Source organism: Homo sapiens, chromosome 1 (assembly GCF_000001405.40).
Source record: "Homo sapiens chromosome 1, GRCh38.p14 Primary Assembly".
Taxonomy (NCBI): Eukaryota; Metazoa; Chordata; class Mammalia; order Primates; family Hominidae; genus Homo; species Homo sapiens.
The window spans coordinates 180,100,505-180,118,171 of NC_000001.11; the positions used below are offsets into that span (position 1 = coordinate 180,100,505).

The 17,667-nt window shown below is 39.9% G+C and overlaps 1 protein-coding gene across 27 annotated transcripts in view; it reads left to right on the forward strand.

Annotated features, from left to right (window-relative positions):
* Positions 1-14,371, forward strand: part of CEP350 (centrosomal protein 350) — a 160,066-nt gene extending 145,695 nt beyond the window's left edge. For 21 of the 27 annotated variants that reach the window (NM_014810.5, XM_047435442.1, XM_047435459.1 and 18 more), the window contains one exon: positions 10,493-14,371. In NM_014810.5, coding sequence (NP_055625.4) covers positions 10,493-10,657 — 165 coding nt within the window. In that variant the 3' untranslated portion in view covers positions 10,658-14,371. The remainder of the gene's footprint in view (positions 1-10,492) is intronic. The other 6 variants (XM_047435445.1, XM_047435376.1, XM_047435387.1 and 3 more) reach the window with 1 other exon arrangement.
* Positions 14,372-17,667: the final 3,296 nt, after the last annotated feature.

A 17,667-nucleotide genomic window follows, 5' to 3' on the forward strand; every position in this document is an offset into this window, starting at 1 on the left:
ATATACATTGAGTCAAAAATTGTGCTAATTAAGGACTGATGTTAACAATAGTAAGCAAAACAGACACAGACCCCACCTTCATAGATTTCCAGTTTGAAGGCAGAAACCAGCCATTAATATATCGTTTACACACAAGTGTGTAAGTTATGCATAAAAATGGAAGAATAGGGAGCTGTTAAAACCACAGGAAGCTGATATAATGAGGATGGTCAAGGCAGGCTTCTCTGAGGAAGTGACATTTGAGCTCAGATCTTAAAGATGAATACATGGCAGCAGTAAGAGAAAATGAGGAGGAAGCAAAAGTGGAAACCCCTGATAAACCCATCAGATCTTGTGAGACTTAATTGCTATCACGAGAATAGCATGGGAAAGACTCCCATGATACAATTACCTCCCCCTGGGTCCCTCCCACACACGTGGGAATTCTGGGAGATACAATTCAAGTTGAGATTTAGGTGGGGACACAGCCAAACCATATCAGTACCCTGACAGCAGAGGCTTCCAGTAGGTGCCAAACAGGGTCAGTTAAGCAGACATCTCTCTAACAGTTATCAGAAATTCTCAAATACTAAACAAAATATTTCTTTTGCAGGGGTAAGGTTATTATAGCTTGGGTGAGGGGAGTACTGTGCATAAGAATTGAAGCAATTTAGCAACTGGTAAACAATAATAATAAAGTATATATTATGTGACTATCCCCTTTGCTGGTTGTAAAATATTTTTTAGCTTCCTACAGAGAGACCTGACCTATATAACTTTTTGCATGAGCTCGTTCTTCTTAATTTTTTTTTTTAACAAAATGATACTGTCAGCTTCTTGAGCTAATTATTAACAAGAAATGCTAAATGAACTAGTCTCCTCTCCCATAATTAGATTTGGTAAACCTTGTATTTGCAGATTCTAATGTTTTTACATTTTAGGGGGATTGAGATTTAAAACAATTTTTTAATAACACGTAAAAGTTTTCTCAAACCACTTCCTCTACTCTCACATTACAACAATCATCACCACACAAGAAAACTTCTGTGACCATATGTGTGTGGACTTTTCCCCCACACACCAAGCAGTGGACACCAGCTGGGTATCCTCTGAATCAGTTCTGATACTCCCTACCCAGATATAGTGTCACATCCCACAGAGTGAGTGCTCAGTCCCCAAGACTGCCCCTGCCCCCTCCACACACACATACCAGTTGCAAGTCCAGGCCTCCAGAACTTCTGATGGACTAGCTTCAAGTTGGGGCTCCCAAGATCCACCTTTGGGTTTAATTAATTTGATGGAGTAGCTCACAGAACTCAGTAAACACTTACTTAGGTTTACTGGTTTATTAGGAAGGATATTGCAAAGGATACAGAGACGCATAGGGTGGAGTATGGGAAAGGGGCACAGAACTTCCATGCCTTCCCTGGGCTGCCACCCTCCAGGAACCTCCAGGTTTAGCTATCCAGAAGCTACCTGAACTCTTTCCTCTTGGGTTTTTCTGAAAGCTTCATGACATCAGCATTCCTTCCCCCAAGGTATTGGGTAGGACCCTCTCATGGGAGGGCCTTAAGACCCACAGTCAGAAAGGTAGGGGAACATTAGAGTGAAAGGAGGGCGGGCCTGCCACTGAGGCCTAACACCCTTGACATTTTTTTTTTTTTTTTTTTGAGACAGAGTCTCGCTTTGTTACCCAGGCTGGAGTGCAGTGGCACCACCTCGGCTCACTACAACCTCCGCCTCCCGGGTTCAAGCAATTCTCCTGTCTCAGTCTCCGGAGTAGCTGGGATTAGAGGCGCATGCCACCATGCCTGGCTAATTTTTGTATTTTTAGTAGAGATGGGGTTTCACCATGTTGGCCAGGCTGGTCTCAAGCTCCTGACCTCAGGTGATCCACCTGTCTCGGCCTCCCAAAGTGCTGGGATTACAGGCGGGAGCCACCGCACCTGGCCAACCCCCCACATTTTAACAAGACTATAACAAGGGCTATGGGAATTATTAGCCATGTTTTAAGTTTTTACTAAAAGAATGAGCTTATTTTGCTCTATGATTTTGTTACACTTTTCACCCATTATTGGTTATTTTTCTAAGTCTTTTACATGTTTAATTATGAAATATTTTTAAAGTATAAAAAAGAATAGAAAATAATATAGGTGCATTGTTTCTGCATCCTTTTCCTTCATTCTGAGCTCGGTTGCATCTACCTAAAGTACACACTTAGTATTTCATTAACTTCAGGCCTTTAATGTAAACTCTCAGTCTTTAAAATGTCTTTATTTCAGCTCTTACTTTTGAGTTATATTTTAGCTGTATATAGAATTTTAAGTTGATAGCTCTTTTTACTTAAGCAGTTTGAAGATATCTCATTATAATTTTGAAGCAGCATCATTGTCTGCGGTGAATACCCAGGGTTCGTCGTCTCGAGCTGAGAAAATTAACGACACAGACACACATACATGAAGTGGGTTAAGGAGTGGAAAGTTTAATAGGCAGAAGAAATGAGAGAGGAGAGCAGCTCTCTCTTTTATGAAAGAGAGGTGTTCCGAAAAAGGAAAAGCGGTGGACCGCAGCAGATTTTATAGGCAGGCTTTAAGAGGTGGTATCTGATTTACATAGGGCCCACAGATTGGTTCCACCAGGTGTGATGTTTACTGGTGTGTGGGGAAGGCTGGTCACCCCACCCTAATCTTATTATGCAAATAGATTTTCTACTTGGCCAGTGCCATCTTGCCTGCTCCTTACTGTGCATGTGGCAAAGAGAAGAGAAGATGGAGCTGCCATTTTGAACAGGCCTATTCCACAGGTAGTTTTTTCTATTGGCACAATTGCCGGCATTCGCTTGTGCAAGCTTCCAGCTTGTTTGTCTGTGTCTGCAGCTTGATTTTACAGGCTGCTCTTCGTTAGAAAAAAAAAAATCATTTGGGGACTGCTTTTCATTAAAAGGAAAACCTTACCAAGGACTTCCTTACCCTATCTGCTTAAGTAATTTCTTTTTTAACTTTTATATCATTCTGACCTCTCGTTGCTTTTGAGAAATCTGACAGTTCTTTATGGGGAATTGGTCTTTTCTGTTTTCCATTTAAGATTGTGTGTGTGTGTGCGTGTATTCTGTAATTTTTCTGGATATGTCTAAATGTGGATTTGCTTTTATTCTGCTTTAGACTCCTTGTGCTTATTGAATCTATAGATTCATATCTTTACTCAGTTCTGGAAAATTCTCAGCTATTGTCTTTTAAAAGATGCTTCTTCCAGCTTTCCCAATTCTCTATGGAACTTCTTTAGACATCTTTGGCCTTAATTCTCTTTCCATGGCTCGTAACTCCTCCCTTAGTTAGTCATAGCGCTTGCCCCTCTTTTAAATCACTATTTGTTACTTAGGATTTTCCCTCCTTTCTTAGAATTTCTTTTGTTATATTTTTAAATATACAAATTTATATTTTATATACAAATATATGTTTTAAAATATATACAAAATATATACAAATATATATTTTAAAATATATACAAATATATATTTTAAAATATATACAAATATATATTTTAAAATATATACAAAATATATACAAATATATATTTTAAATATACACAAATATATATATTTTAAATATACAAATATTTTTGTTATATTTTATCTAATACATCTACATATTTATATGAGGACTTTTTTGGCATTATCTTTACCATTTCTGCTGGAACTGATTCTTGACAGCTGTAGTTTTCTTGTAGAGTTGTTTTTTGTTGTTTTTTGATATATTCCAAGAGTTTTTCAAATTTTATCTATAATTAATATTTGGATATTGTAGTTCAAAAGAGCAGGAGAAGACAGTGGTTAATATTTTGGACAGCCCAATACTATAGATAAAATGAAGTCACCTTTTCCTATAAAATGGATTTTTTTTATTGTTTTTCTAGAGCTTTGACTATTGGGAATTTTGCTTAGGATCTCTAGTTTTAAAAGTTTCTGAATCTTCCTGAGCCTCCTTCAGTATTTTTGCATGTAATAAACCCCAAAGTTCTCTCATGGGGATTCTTTTATAAATGGAGAGAATGGCATAAGCAGTTAAGAGCAAGGTCTCTGGAATCAAACAGCTTGTAAGTGTCCAGTCTTGTCTTTACCACTTATTAACATTGTGATTTTGGGTGAGTTCTCTCACCTCTCTTTCTCAGTCTCCCGCTCTTTAAAGTAGCAACCTCGTAGAGTTGGGATGATTAACCAAGATCTAATATGTATTAAGTGGCATCTAAGGAGCTCTCAAAAATATTAGATATTATTAATATAATTATTTTCATTGATTCACAGTAACTTTTTCCTTGCACTTAAAGCTATTTCAGGTGTAGCAGTTTTAATCCGCCACCTGATACAGCATTCTTGAAGGCAAAAGCACTTGGACTAATAATAAGCATAGGCCGTCACTTCCCCCGCATTATACATTTTCTCTACTGAATCTTTTCCATTAGCATACCAACTCATATTTCTTTAAAGCTAAAATAACTCTTTTGTCATCACTTCCCCCTCCAATTTTCCCTTTACAATAAAACTCCTTTAATATGTCCATTTTTACACTCCCTAATCTGTCTTTCATGAAACCAAACTCCAGTCAAGGTTTTACCTCATCCATGCCACCAAATCTGCTTGGATTAATAAACCCAGTGGTAAATCTCAGTTCCTGTGTTACTTGACCCATCAGCAGCATTCAACACAGTTGATCCCTCCCTTTTCCTTGAAACCTGGCTTTCTGCTCCCTCACTGGCTGCTGCTCCTTGGTCTCCTTTGTTGGTTCATCCTCACCTTGAAATGTTGGCATGCTCCTGGAATCCGCCCACGGACCTCTTCTTTATTTGTCTACACTCCTTCTCAGTCTCATGGCTTTGACTACGATCTGTATGTTCACCACTCCCAAATTCATATCTCCAGCCTAGGACTCTTGCTTGACTCCAGATGCATATAGCCATTTGCCTACTCAGTATCTCCATTTGGATGTCTATTAGACATCTCAAATTTCACATGTTCAAAACAACTTCTGAGAATTATGTTAGCTCTGGGTTTGTCATACATGGCCTTTCTACTGAGGTATTATTTCCTCTATACCAATCTGTTGAGAGTTTTTATCATGAAAGGGTATCAAAGGCTTTTTCTGCATTTATTTAAATGATCCTCTGATTTTTAGCCTTCATTTTGTTAATGTGGTGTATCATATTTATTGATTGTGTATGCAATAAATCCCATTTGATTGTGGTGATTCTTTTATCAAAATCTTAATTACCCCCTTTTAAAACATTTGTAACATGATAAACTATCTTACTAAACATTTCATAATAAACAGTTGCTTCTTCCAATTTAAGAAAATGTATATTTTAGTTGTTGCTTGGGCTGAGGATGTCCCTAATCAATCTAACTATATTTGTGTCTTCAGGCATTATTTGAGGTGAATAAAATGCAAATAATTTTTTAGACATAAAGGCCTCTGTTAGCCAAATGAGAAATCTTTCTTTCACCTCTAGTTCTCATTCACTCCCCCTTTTTCTTTCACAAAGGCATTGATTAATTTATATCTTAGGTTAGCTAAGAATTTGAGCTATTTTTAGCAGTACATTCTCAAAGTATAGATGCTGTGGAATGAGTAGCAAGTAATTAGAGCACCGTTTGTATAACCTTTATGTACAGTAGCCTTGAAAAATCTCCGTACTGTAGGTAGAATTGCACCTAAGATGACAAATCTTGTAGTAGGACCACCTAGCTAATGATTGAGTCTCCTTTATAGCCTGGGAACTGATGAGAAGGACACTCAGCACTCCTGAGTTCCTCCTGTCTCTACGTCTTTCTCATATTAAGCCTAAGTTGGCTTTCACACAATTAATTACAATTTGCTTCTATAGCTTTGGGGCTTTACGTAACAACTTTAATTTTTTCTACACCCTTTTGAAATAGCTATCATGTTTGACCCGGGTCTTTTCTCCTTATAAAACATTAGTATTGTCTCCTGTTGTCTGATATAGTTTTGAGTCCCTTCAACATCAACTGTAGCTCTGTCAGTGTCCCTCTTTAAATACAGTGCTCAGAGTTAGCCTTATAATGTTTCATGGTTTTGTTTTTGTTTTTAGATACAAGGTCTTGTTCTGTCACCCAGGCTGGAGTGCAGTGGCATGATGGTAGCTCACTGCAGCCTTGGACTCCTGGGCTCAAGGGATCCTCCTGCCTCGGTCTTCCAAATCACTAGGATTATAGGGATGCATCACCGCGACCAGCCTCGTGTATTATTTAATTAGTAGTCATTCAACCTATTTTTTTCTAGATAGTACATTTTGATTAGTACAGTTTATGATTTTTTTTTTTTTTACCTGTATCTTACTTATAGTACTTACAGGAGCTGAGGAAAACCCCAAGACCAACCTGTGCTCAACCTGTGCTTTTGTAGTGATTTTTTTGGACCCTATTACAGAACCTTATTTATTCCTTCATCTTGTTAAATGTGGCCCATTGTTCCAGGCTACCACCACATTTCTTGATTCTTTCTTTGAACATAATTATTATATTTCCCAGCTTCGTGTCATTTCTAAAATTGATGTACCTGCCTTCATCTAGGTCATTGCTAAAAACAATGAAGTAGAGCTAAAGACAGCCTTTCAGCATTCACAAAACTTATCTATTCTATATGCCATATATTTATATAGCACCTTCTATTTGCACTGTCCTAGTCATGAGGGAATCATAAATAAAAAGAAATGGCCCTTTAAGAGCTCACAGCCTAGTGGGAAAACAGATACACAGTATATAATTTAGCATGATAATTGCTGTAATGGAATATGAAGAAGATAGAATGGGAGCACAGAGGAAAAACTCCGAGTCTTTGAGGCAGAAACTTCCTTGCAGGTTGAGAGCTGTCCTTTAATCAAAAAAGTGTAAATTAGCCAGGCACGGTGGCTCACCTAATCCTAGCACTTTGGGAGGCCGGGGCAGATGGATCACCTGAGGTCAGGAGTTTGAGACCAGCCTGGCCAACATGGTGAAACCCCATCTCTCTGAAAATACAAAAATTAGCCGGGCATAGTGGCGCATGCCTGTAATCCCAGCTACTCGGGAGACTGAGGCAGGAGGATCACTTGAACCCGGGAGGTGGAGGTTGCAGTGAGCCGAGATGGCGCCACTGCACTCCAGCCTGGGTGACAGAGCGAGACTCCCGTCTCAAACAAGTGTAAATCCACCTAACCTGTCTCTTTTTTCCCAACTTGTTCACAAGGATACAGTGAAAGACCCTGGCATCTGCTTGCTGAAATTGGGCCACATTCTATTTACTACATTTCTCTATTCCACCAGCCTAATACCCTGTCCCCTCCTCTGCTCCCAAAAAAACAAAACAAAACAAAACAAAACAAAAAACTGTTAGTCTTTTAGATGTAATTAATTAAGCTGTTTATATTTTAAATGTATTAATTTTTACATATACATACATATATCTTCAGGAGCAGGATCGGGGAAATGAGTCATAGAATATAATAGACTCTGAAGATCAGAAGGAAAAAAAATAGAGGCAAATTTGCAGGCTATGAGATCCCCCAGTTGTTATAGTTGAAGATCCAAATTGGGCTCTGAGCTTTCTAAAGGCCAAAGAGAAATGGAAAAGTTCATGTTCTTACTGACTGACAGAGAAATAGTTCCTGTTCTTAAGTGGGAACAAAGCTTTTGCCAACACCGAAATCTTACATTTCAGTGGGGGCTGCATTGAGGTTACACCGAGAGAGAGAATAAAAAATGTCATGAGCATATATTTCTACTGCAAGTGCACAAAAGATTTCCTTAGTGTTTCCTAAATTTTGTTATTGTGGAGGAAATTGCTCAAAGAACAGATTTAATATTACAGGCCAAGAGAGGCTGGGCAGCATGGCTCATGCCTGTAATCCCAGCACTTTGGAAGGCCAAGGCAGGCTAGATAGCTTGAGCCCGGGAGGTGGAGGTTACAGTGAGCTGAGATCACGCCACTGCACTCCAGCCTGGGTGACAGAGTGAGACTCTGTCTCAAAAAAAAAGTGGGGCGGGGTGGGGGACTAAAAGAACTGTTATAGAAAGGAAAGCTGCGCAACTTTGAATAACAAATTCATTGGGGATGTGAAATTTTTTGTGCACACACCTAGACCATCCCTCAGCACAAGTTCAAGAAGTCTTATATTAGGCTGTTTATTATAGCATCCTTCATAAGAGAGGAACACCAATTCCATGGTAGGTTGACAAGTATTTCGTAGATACCCATGATTCTGTGGTCAAATAAATATAGGAAACGCTGAGTTAAACAAGTTTCTTTACTGCTGGTGGGCTTCTGTCTCATAGGCTTAAGTACAATGTAACTCTCCCAGAGGGAGTTCTCCAAAACTTTATTTGGCCATAGAACCCTTTTTGGTGGTACATTAGGGAACAGAGGAATAAATGTTTACATATCCTCCAAACAACCTTTCTAAAAGAGAAAGAATGTGGCAGCCACCCTGTTACATATTTGTCAACTCCAGCCAAGGATATATGTTGGACAATACTGTTCTTCCCCTCTCTTACTCTCTCAAGCTTCAGGATGATGTAGTCTCTTTTTTGCTAGGGTCTTCTCGTTTCCTTATAAGGCAAACCAGAGTACAAGTTCCCCTCTTCACTTTCTCTTTTTTTTTTTTTTTGAGATGGAGTCACTCTGTCGCCTAGGCTGGAGTGCAGTGGCGCAATCTTGGCTCACTGCAACCTCCGCCTCCCGGGTTCAAGCGATTCTCCTGCCTCAGCCTCTCTGAGTAGCTGCGATTACAGGTGCACACAACCACACCCGGCTAATTTTTGTATTTTTAGTAGAAACGGGGTTTCACCACATTGGTCAGGGTGGTCTTGAACTCCTGACCTCGTGATCCACCCGTCTCCGCCTCCCAAAGTGCTAGGATTACAGGCTTGAGCCACCGCGCTCGGCCCACTTTCTCTGCTTTTTTAAAGATGAAACTATGATCAGGGCAAGCCAGGAGCATGTTGTCACTTGGCTTTTTTGCCAAGTAAGACTTCTAGTTAGAGACCCCTGTCACTGCAATTAACTTTGCTGAATTTGTAACTTGAGATCAGGGTTCACTTCCTTATCTGGCCTCCATCCCATTCACAATGTCATTTTGTATAGCAAATCTAATGTGTTTTTTTTGTTTGTTTGTTTGTTTTTTAGACGGAGTTTCACTCTGTCGCCCAGGCTACAGTGAAGTGGCGCAATCTTGGCCCACTGCAACCTCCGCCCCCTGGGTTCAAGCGATTCTCCTGCCTCAGCCTCCCTAGTAGCTGGGACTACAGGCGCGTGCCACCATGCCTGGCAGATTTTGTATTTTTAGTAGAGATGGGGTTTCGCCATGTTGGCCAGGCTGATCTCCAACTTCTGACCTCAGGTGATCCACCCGCCTAGGCCTCCTGAAGTGCTGGGATTACAGGCGTGAGCCACCGCACCCAGCCAATCTAATGCGTTTCTTTTAGAATAAAGTAGGTTTTTTTCCCATGTATTATAAACAAGCAATAAATCTGGGGAGGTTATTTCTACTTGATTAGTTTTTATTTACCTAATAAGAATCCTAAAATGCAAAAATAGTATTGTATTAATATAACAGTGACTTTAAAATAAACTTCAGCAATATTACATTTGAAAAATACCCTAAGGTTAAATTTATTTATAACAAGTGTTATTCATTTATTATAATACCCCAGAGTCACATTCAGTATTGTCTTTCGATATATGCATTTTATAATTGTAAATCCATATACAGATGTCCCCTACTTAATGAGGGTTCGACTTACTGTTTTTCAACATCACGATGGTATGAAAGCAACACACATTCAGTAGAAACAGTACTTCGATTTTTGAATTTTGATCTTTTCCTGGGCCAGTGATAAGTGGTATGGGGGCAGCAGCAGCGAGCCACAGCTTGCAGTCAGCCACACCATCATGAGGGTAAACACCGATACTCTCCTGTGGACTGTGATGCAGATGATTCTGCCCGACTGTAGACCAATATACATGCTCTGAGCATGTTTCAGATGGACTAGGCTAAGCTATATGTTCAGTAAGTTAGGTGTATTCACTGCATTTTTGACTTAATGATATTTTCAATTTACTGCGAATTTATTGGACATAACTCCATTGTAAGTAGAGGAACATTTCTGTCTAATATTTTGTGTTTTCCTCCCATTAAATTCCTTATTCTCTTATGTTATGGAATTCCTTATGGAATACATATTCCCTTACGTTGACATTGACAACATACTGGTAATCTTTAATATATATGAAATACTTGAATATTGTCAAATGTTATTTTTGAAGTCATTTTGATATTTGGCAATTGAGGTTTTTTCAACTTTTTGCAATTTTAAAAGGGGTATTGATATCATATGAATTATCTTTTTTCTCTGGTTTATTTCCTTGGGCTGTATTCCTATGGATAGGACTACAAAGTCAGCAATTATATTTTCTAGCTTTTGTATGACAGGAATTTTCTAACCTTATTGTCTTCTAAATCCTAGGTTCAGGAGCTCCATGAGGAGGAGGCACAGTGGGTGAACTATGATGAGGATGAGTTGTGTGTGAAAATGCAGCTAGCCGACGGGATCTTTGAGACCCTGATCAAAGATACTATTGATGTTCTGAATCAGATCAGTGAAAAGCAGGGGAGAATGCTACTTGTGTGACATCTTGCAAATAAATCGAACGCTGAGTGCTAATGTGAGTCCTGGGCCTTTCTGCCTCCTGATGTACACCCATCGCCATCATAGCAAGAGTGCTTCTGGACCTTGTACTTATTCTTAAAGACTACCAGTATGGAGTTCATAGGACAATGTGGTACACCTGGTATTACAGCCTTTGCCTTTCGAGACTATCCACTGGATTAATGGGTTATTTTCAGTGGGCAGGGTTGCACAGTGTAATCCTACACCTTTTGCTAACACCCCTACTAGGTCCCAGAGGGCCAGAAACACCTGACTTACCTCTGAGTTTAGACTAGGGTATCACTTCTTTGAGTCTGAAGTCAAGTGAGAGAGGTATAGATAAATGCATCACATCACTTTTGAAATGTAATTCTGGTCTATACCATGGAAGTCATAAATGGACATTATAGTCTCTAAACAGTATTAAACCCTTAACCACTTCTAAAATAGGCAAGCTCAATAATGTCTGCCAACTTCACATTCTGGAGTTTATTTCATTTCTTTTTGAAGACCATTTTCTTCCATTATTGTAGTTGAGCAGCACCAAGTGGACTGTCAGGCTAACAGGAATAAGTGGTAGCCTTGCTTTCTGAGCACCATCTAAAGAATTTTAAACCTCTGCATTATGTTTAGTGTTCTCTGTGTGGGCATGAAAACAAAGAAATGCCCCTACTGAAGACTGGGCTCAAAGGACCAATGCAGGGCTGGTTCTTTTACCCCTTGGTTTACTCCTGCACTTGTCTTACTCATTCTGAATCTCTACCAGCTGCTCCCAGAATCACAGATACTCAGGACCATCTCAGGCATCCAGGCATGGCAAAGTGGAAATAATTCATTTTGGCCTGCAAACCTTCAACTCCCATCTTTCCCCAAGAAGTCAGAGATGCTGTTACTTGAATGATTTAGGAAATGAGTGTGTGCACCAAAGACAAAAAGATATTGTCTATTGTTTGTGTGCTTGTTTTGCGCTATGGAACATTTTTTAATTTATTTTAAGATAAATTATTAAGTTGAAAATGTGTGTCCCTATTCAGAAGTGAAAGATTCATCTTGTAATAGTTAAACCTCCATCTTGAAGCTTCTATGGTTCATAGTCTTTGCACAGGAACCTGTGGTTTTAACAAACCAATACACATATTGAAGAAGTCATTTTAATTCAGTGAAACGAAGATGGGCTTTTCCAGATCACCTGCAATAGCAGCAGTGGGATAAAATGATTTAAAAACACTGTACAATTTAACTCTGCCTCTCTTGCAGCATTGCTTCTCACAACTATTACCTGCATCTGAAAAAAAATCTATAGACTCCAGCTGCTACATTAGAGCATAAGAGATGCTCTCCTGGGACCTCAGTACCCTGCCTTCTTGACTGGTTTCCGTTCATCAGTCCTGTCCCTCTTCAAGTAATCTAGAAGAATGTGGATACTCTTAGGCGTGAATGTAAATGCCTTAATATTGAAGGTCCTGGTTAGAAGCATGATACAAGACATCTACTGGATTCATATTTACAAATATCCTGGAATGTTATAGCTTCAAAGTATATTAGAAAAACCCCAAAGATGGTATAATCTTTAAGTGTGCACGTTCGTTTATTTCTGCATCTTCCCTCCAAACTTGCCTTTGCATCTTAAATATTTCACTATGCACACTCCCATTCCTCTTGGGTTTCATCTTGTCGTTTAAGAAATGTACTGAAATAATCATTGGAATATTTGCATTTTGCACAATGACTGGTATGATAGCTCTTGACAAATAAGGAAAGCACTGAAATGTTGTGATTGGGTCTCGGGAAATGCTCAGATTGATGTCTTACCAGCATTTCTTCTGGGCTTGTGATGTTGAGCTGTAGTCTTGTAGCCATAATGAGCAAATTGACTAAGAGAAGCAAAGGTTTCTTGGGGTTATTAACCAGTAGTGTGGAAATACTAGTTTTATGTGGCCAAGGAAAAGCAAAGGCTTTTCTTTTCAGTTTGTGTTATTTGGAAGACAGAAAAACATCTTGTCTACATCCTTTGGCTGTTTGTAGGATCACGTTGTCCTTACGATACTGAAACTTTACAGCTGCTGTAAATTTTTTATAAATGAATTTCAAAATGTTATAATGGGACTGTAGGTTGTTTTTCTACATCTTCATTATTTGGACCTAAAACCAGTTTTTAATAAGAAAGTTTATCTTTACTCTTTCTGAAATTATGACTCCAGAAAAAGAAAAAAAAAATACAAGTCATGGAATCAGCAATCTGGTAAGAAATGCTGCCAAGAATGTGGCAGTAGCTGTCCTGACAGACTCCAACTGTCTTTACTATCTGAAGAATCCTAGGCTCCACATGAGAGGCAGAAATGGATCAGTCTTATTCTTTTCTAGAAATGGTTATCTGTAGTTTGGTAGCAAAAAAAAAGAAAAAAGAATCCATAATTAGCAGATTTCTTATTAACTATTTGGATCTAATTGAAATGGCTTTATTCTTAGGATTAAGAAAGATAGATGTGGATACCCAGCCACTCGTTCCATATTGGTATCTTTTTAAATCAGCTCTGCCTCTTAATCAAGAACCTAAATATTCCCTCTTTCTAATCTTTGTTCCTTCTCCCTACACCCTCATCCTCTTTCACTCTTCCTTCATAATTCCTCTAAGAAAAATATCTTTGCATCAGCAGTAATATCTTTTAGAATAGCACTATCAGAATTTAGCAGTAAACCAACATACAGGCTTCAGATTTACTTCTGAGTCCAAAACAATTTGTGCTATCCAGGGTAGTTAACTCTGGGTTAAACAAGTACAGGGTATAGATTCCCTCTTCAGGTCTACACAGGAATTTTTACCATAGGGAAAAGTGGGGAGAGCTCAAACGTAGTTAATAAGGAAGGTAATTTGTTTTTCTTTTACCTAAAAGAAAAGAAAATTCCTTCTGTGACTACAGGTCTCTGAGAAATTATCTTTCAAAAGAGATTTCATTGCTCATAAGAGTGTTGTGGCCTATTGATAAAAACAATTTTGTTCAGTTTCTTGTCTTGAAAAAAAAGTGGCCTTAGCTTTTTGCAATACTTGAATAAAGTGTGTACTCGCAAAAGAATTTCTGTAGCACAGCATTAGAGACTCATAACTTTTCTGCAAGAAATACAAACTTACATCTTCCTTTTACTACCTTAAGAATACTAGTGAATAAAACATTAATTCAAAGAGCAAATTATAGAAACTACAATGACATTTAATGCAAATTGTAGGAATTTACATGTTTACAAATCATCTTCAACTGGTTGTGCAGCAATTCAATAAAATATCTTTGTATTATAAAAATGTGAAGAAAAAATGTAAACTGATGTAAAGGAGGTACTGTCATTTTAATTAACCTATGTTTAATAGCTTTTCCTTCTGGACTTTGCAAAGCCTTCTTGGCAAACACATTGCAAAGCATTCTCTGGGAGGTTCAGCCTCCTTGTGTGTACTGTACTGTGCAGACATGAAAAAATAAACCCGTTTACTGTGTGCGTGTAAATAGCCTGGTCATCAGGCCATTTTCAGCCAATAGTCACATCCAGTGCAATTTTGCACCGAACACTTAAGGGTGTGGTTTGTAAGTACGATCTGTAAAATAACTGGGATGAATTCCCATGTATACCTGTGTAAATAGATTTGTTAACTGAAATATACTTTAAGAAAGATAAAATCTGTAAATAAACTGATTTATAAATTAATTTCATGTCAGGTCTCCATTTTTTCCCTCCTGAGCCAACTTCAGAAAATTAGTCCCCATAAAATACATCTGATTGCTTATTTAGTCATAGGGTGCTGATGCTTGGACAGTACAATCAGGTAAGCTGTGGATAAGAGCTATTTACCTGCACATAAATGCCATCAGCACATACATTTGAGCAGCCTGGGCTTTGCTCCCACACTCATTGATTCAGCAGATAGCCACTGAGCAACTTTGTGTTCTGAGTACTGTGCTGAGTGCTGGAAACATAGCAAAAAAGACAGACATGGTCCCTGATCTCAAGAAACTTAATGTCTAATGAAAGCCACCAAAAGATATTTTGAAAACCTGTGTGACAAGTTCTAACAAGTGCTGCACAGGAAGCATACATAAGATTTGAGAATATCTTAATAAAAGGACCCAACAAGGGTAGAGTGAGTCAGGGAAGAGTTCTCTGATAAATTATAACTGTTTTATGAGCTTCTTCCTTCTAATTCATGGCAAATGCCATTTCTCCCAAATGACCTAAATTTTGATAACCCTTGCAAAATAACACATGGAAGAGTCACACTCAAGTGGACCACAAAGAAGAAGTGCAACCAGCTGATGCCCAGGTGTGGAGGCTGTAACTTATTTCTGGAAATATGAGCTTGGAGGAGAATGAAGCTGAAGTGATAGAAGAATAAAAACAATCCAAGGATGGAAGTGTACAGCACTCAAGATAATGAATTGTCTCTGGTCTGACAAATCGGAAGTGGTAACCACCATCATCTTACCTGAATTCCTCTAGTTTCCCCCAGATGGCCATCCCTGCTATATCTTTAATCCCTACCACAACCATGAACATTTCGGAAATTCTCAGAAAAAGATTGGCCCCAAATTACAGTAGGTCCTAAGAAATTCTTCCTCTCATAAAACAGATAGTTGAGACTGGGCATGGTGGCTCACACCTGTAATCCCAGCACTTTGGGATGCCAAGGCAGGAAGATTCCTTGAGCCCAGAAGTTCGAGACCAGCCTGGGCAACAGGGTGAGGCCCCATCTCTCCAAAAAACTTTTTTTTTAATTAGCGGGGCACAGTGGCACACACCTGTGGTCCCAACTACTTGGGAGGCTGAGGTGAGAGAATCCCTTGAACCCAGGAGGTCAAGGCTGCAGTGAGCCGTGTTCATGCCACTGTACTCCAGCCTGGGCAACAGAGTGAAACCTGTCTCAGAAAAAAGAAACCAGGTGTTTGAGTCCCTACTATGTGCCAGATACTGTGGTTGGTGCTGAGGACACAATAGTACAATAGTAATAACAAATAGAATCTTGGAAAAAAGACCAAATACCTGTAACCTTGAATCAAAATATATGAAAGTGGCAGTCAAGAGGATGGCAGTTGACATGGCAGAGCCAAGAACAATGAGACCAACACTGGGAGAAGTACAGTGGTGAATGTCTCCAGGAGGGAAGCCAGTCACGCCCCACATAACGGTCAACAATGGGCCGTATGTACAGCGTGGTCCCGGAAGATTCTGTATAATGGAGCTGAAAGTGTTCTATCACCTAAGGAGGTCATAGCCATTGTAACATTGTAGTGTGACACATTACTCGCGAGATTATGGTGACGCTGGCTGGTGTAAACGAACCTACTGTGCTGCCAGTTGTATAAAAGTATACAGTAATGTCCTAGCCATTCATGTTCACTCCCCACTCACCCACAGCAGCCTCCAGTCCTGCAAGCTCCATTCATGGTAAGTGCCCTATATACACATTCCATTTTCTATCTTTTATACTGTGATTTTACTGTTTTCTATATTTAAGTTTGTTTAGATACCACAAATTCTTACCATTTGTGTTACAACTGCCTACAACGTTCAGTACAGTAACATGCTGTACAGCTTTGTAGTCTAGGAGCAATAGACTACACCATATAGCGTAGGTGTGTAGCAAGCTATACCATTTAGGTTTGTGTGAGTGCATTCTACGATGTTCACACAACAATGAAGTCACCTAACGATGCATTTCTCAGAACATATCCCAGTGGTTAAGCATGCATGACTCTGCTGAGGAGAAACAGCTAATGCCCTACAAAGTCCCAGCAAAGCTCAGGAATTGGAGGCACTGGCTGCCACAGTAAAAGGTGCAAAACACGGAGATTGTTTCACCATTCGCTGGGTGTCCAGGCTGTGCAGCCAAGGTCAAAAGGCAGATACGTGCCTCCCAGGGAAGAGACCAGTGCATGACTCAAGGTCACTGAGGACAGACAACACACACATCAGGCTCAGGTGGCACAGTGTTTATTTACACCAAGAGGAGACAGTGCAGGAGGTTCAGCCCCTTGCAATGCATCAGCCCTACAAGGGCAGTAGATCCGCTCCACCGTGAACACAGGCGATGTGACTGCAAGTGCCCCACTTTGTGCTGCAGTGGAAGGACCCTCCGTCTCCGCCATGGGGTCTGAAAGGCAGAAAGCTGGGTGTGTATGAGGACCATTGACACATGAGCTTAAGCAGAACAAAGGAGTACACGTTGAGTCTGCAGTAGGACAAGATATTCCCGCTCATGGAGATAAGCCCCGCACAGGCTGTAGTGCTCTTATCTCTCAGTAAGGAAGTGTTCCAGGCCCATTCTCACGTGATTGTGCAAGGGCAGGAAGCTGCACACGATTGCCTTTCCCAACAGGGAAGAAAATAGAGAAGTTGATGGCAAGTCTGATTGGAACAGTTAGACCACCCAGGTACCCACCCCTCCCAGCGGATCCAGGTGACTGCCTGTGCTCTCTTCAGTGCTCTCAGGAGGTGAGTAATTCTCTGGAGAAGTTAAACCACAGAGGTCCTGAACTTGAGGACTCTAGACACAATGAAGCATGGAAGTCAGGCAACAGACTGAAGATAAGGATGAAGTTAAAGTTGATGGATGGAGTGAGGGACCCAGCCAGGCTTAGCCACAACCCTCTCCCACAGGAAGGAGACTGGAGGACCCTCCTCTGGAAAAACTGGCCACAGAGGAAAGGCCTATAGTTACTGTCATTTGGAGAGGTCTCCAAAGAAAAAGCTGGCTTGCCCCCAATCTCCTTCCCATGAAATCCACCAGCCAAAAAGCCCCACCCATGCGCACTGAGTTGCTCATCACATTTTTAGCACATCGCTCATATGTGAACAAATAGCCACCCATCTCCAGACTTCAGAGGGAAGGCACCAATATGAAATAGGCCAAATCAAAAAGAAAAAAGAGGGATTCTGGTGAAACAACTGCATGGCACAGAAGAAAACCTCATAAGAGATTTTCAAACTATAATTAAAATCCTCAGCTG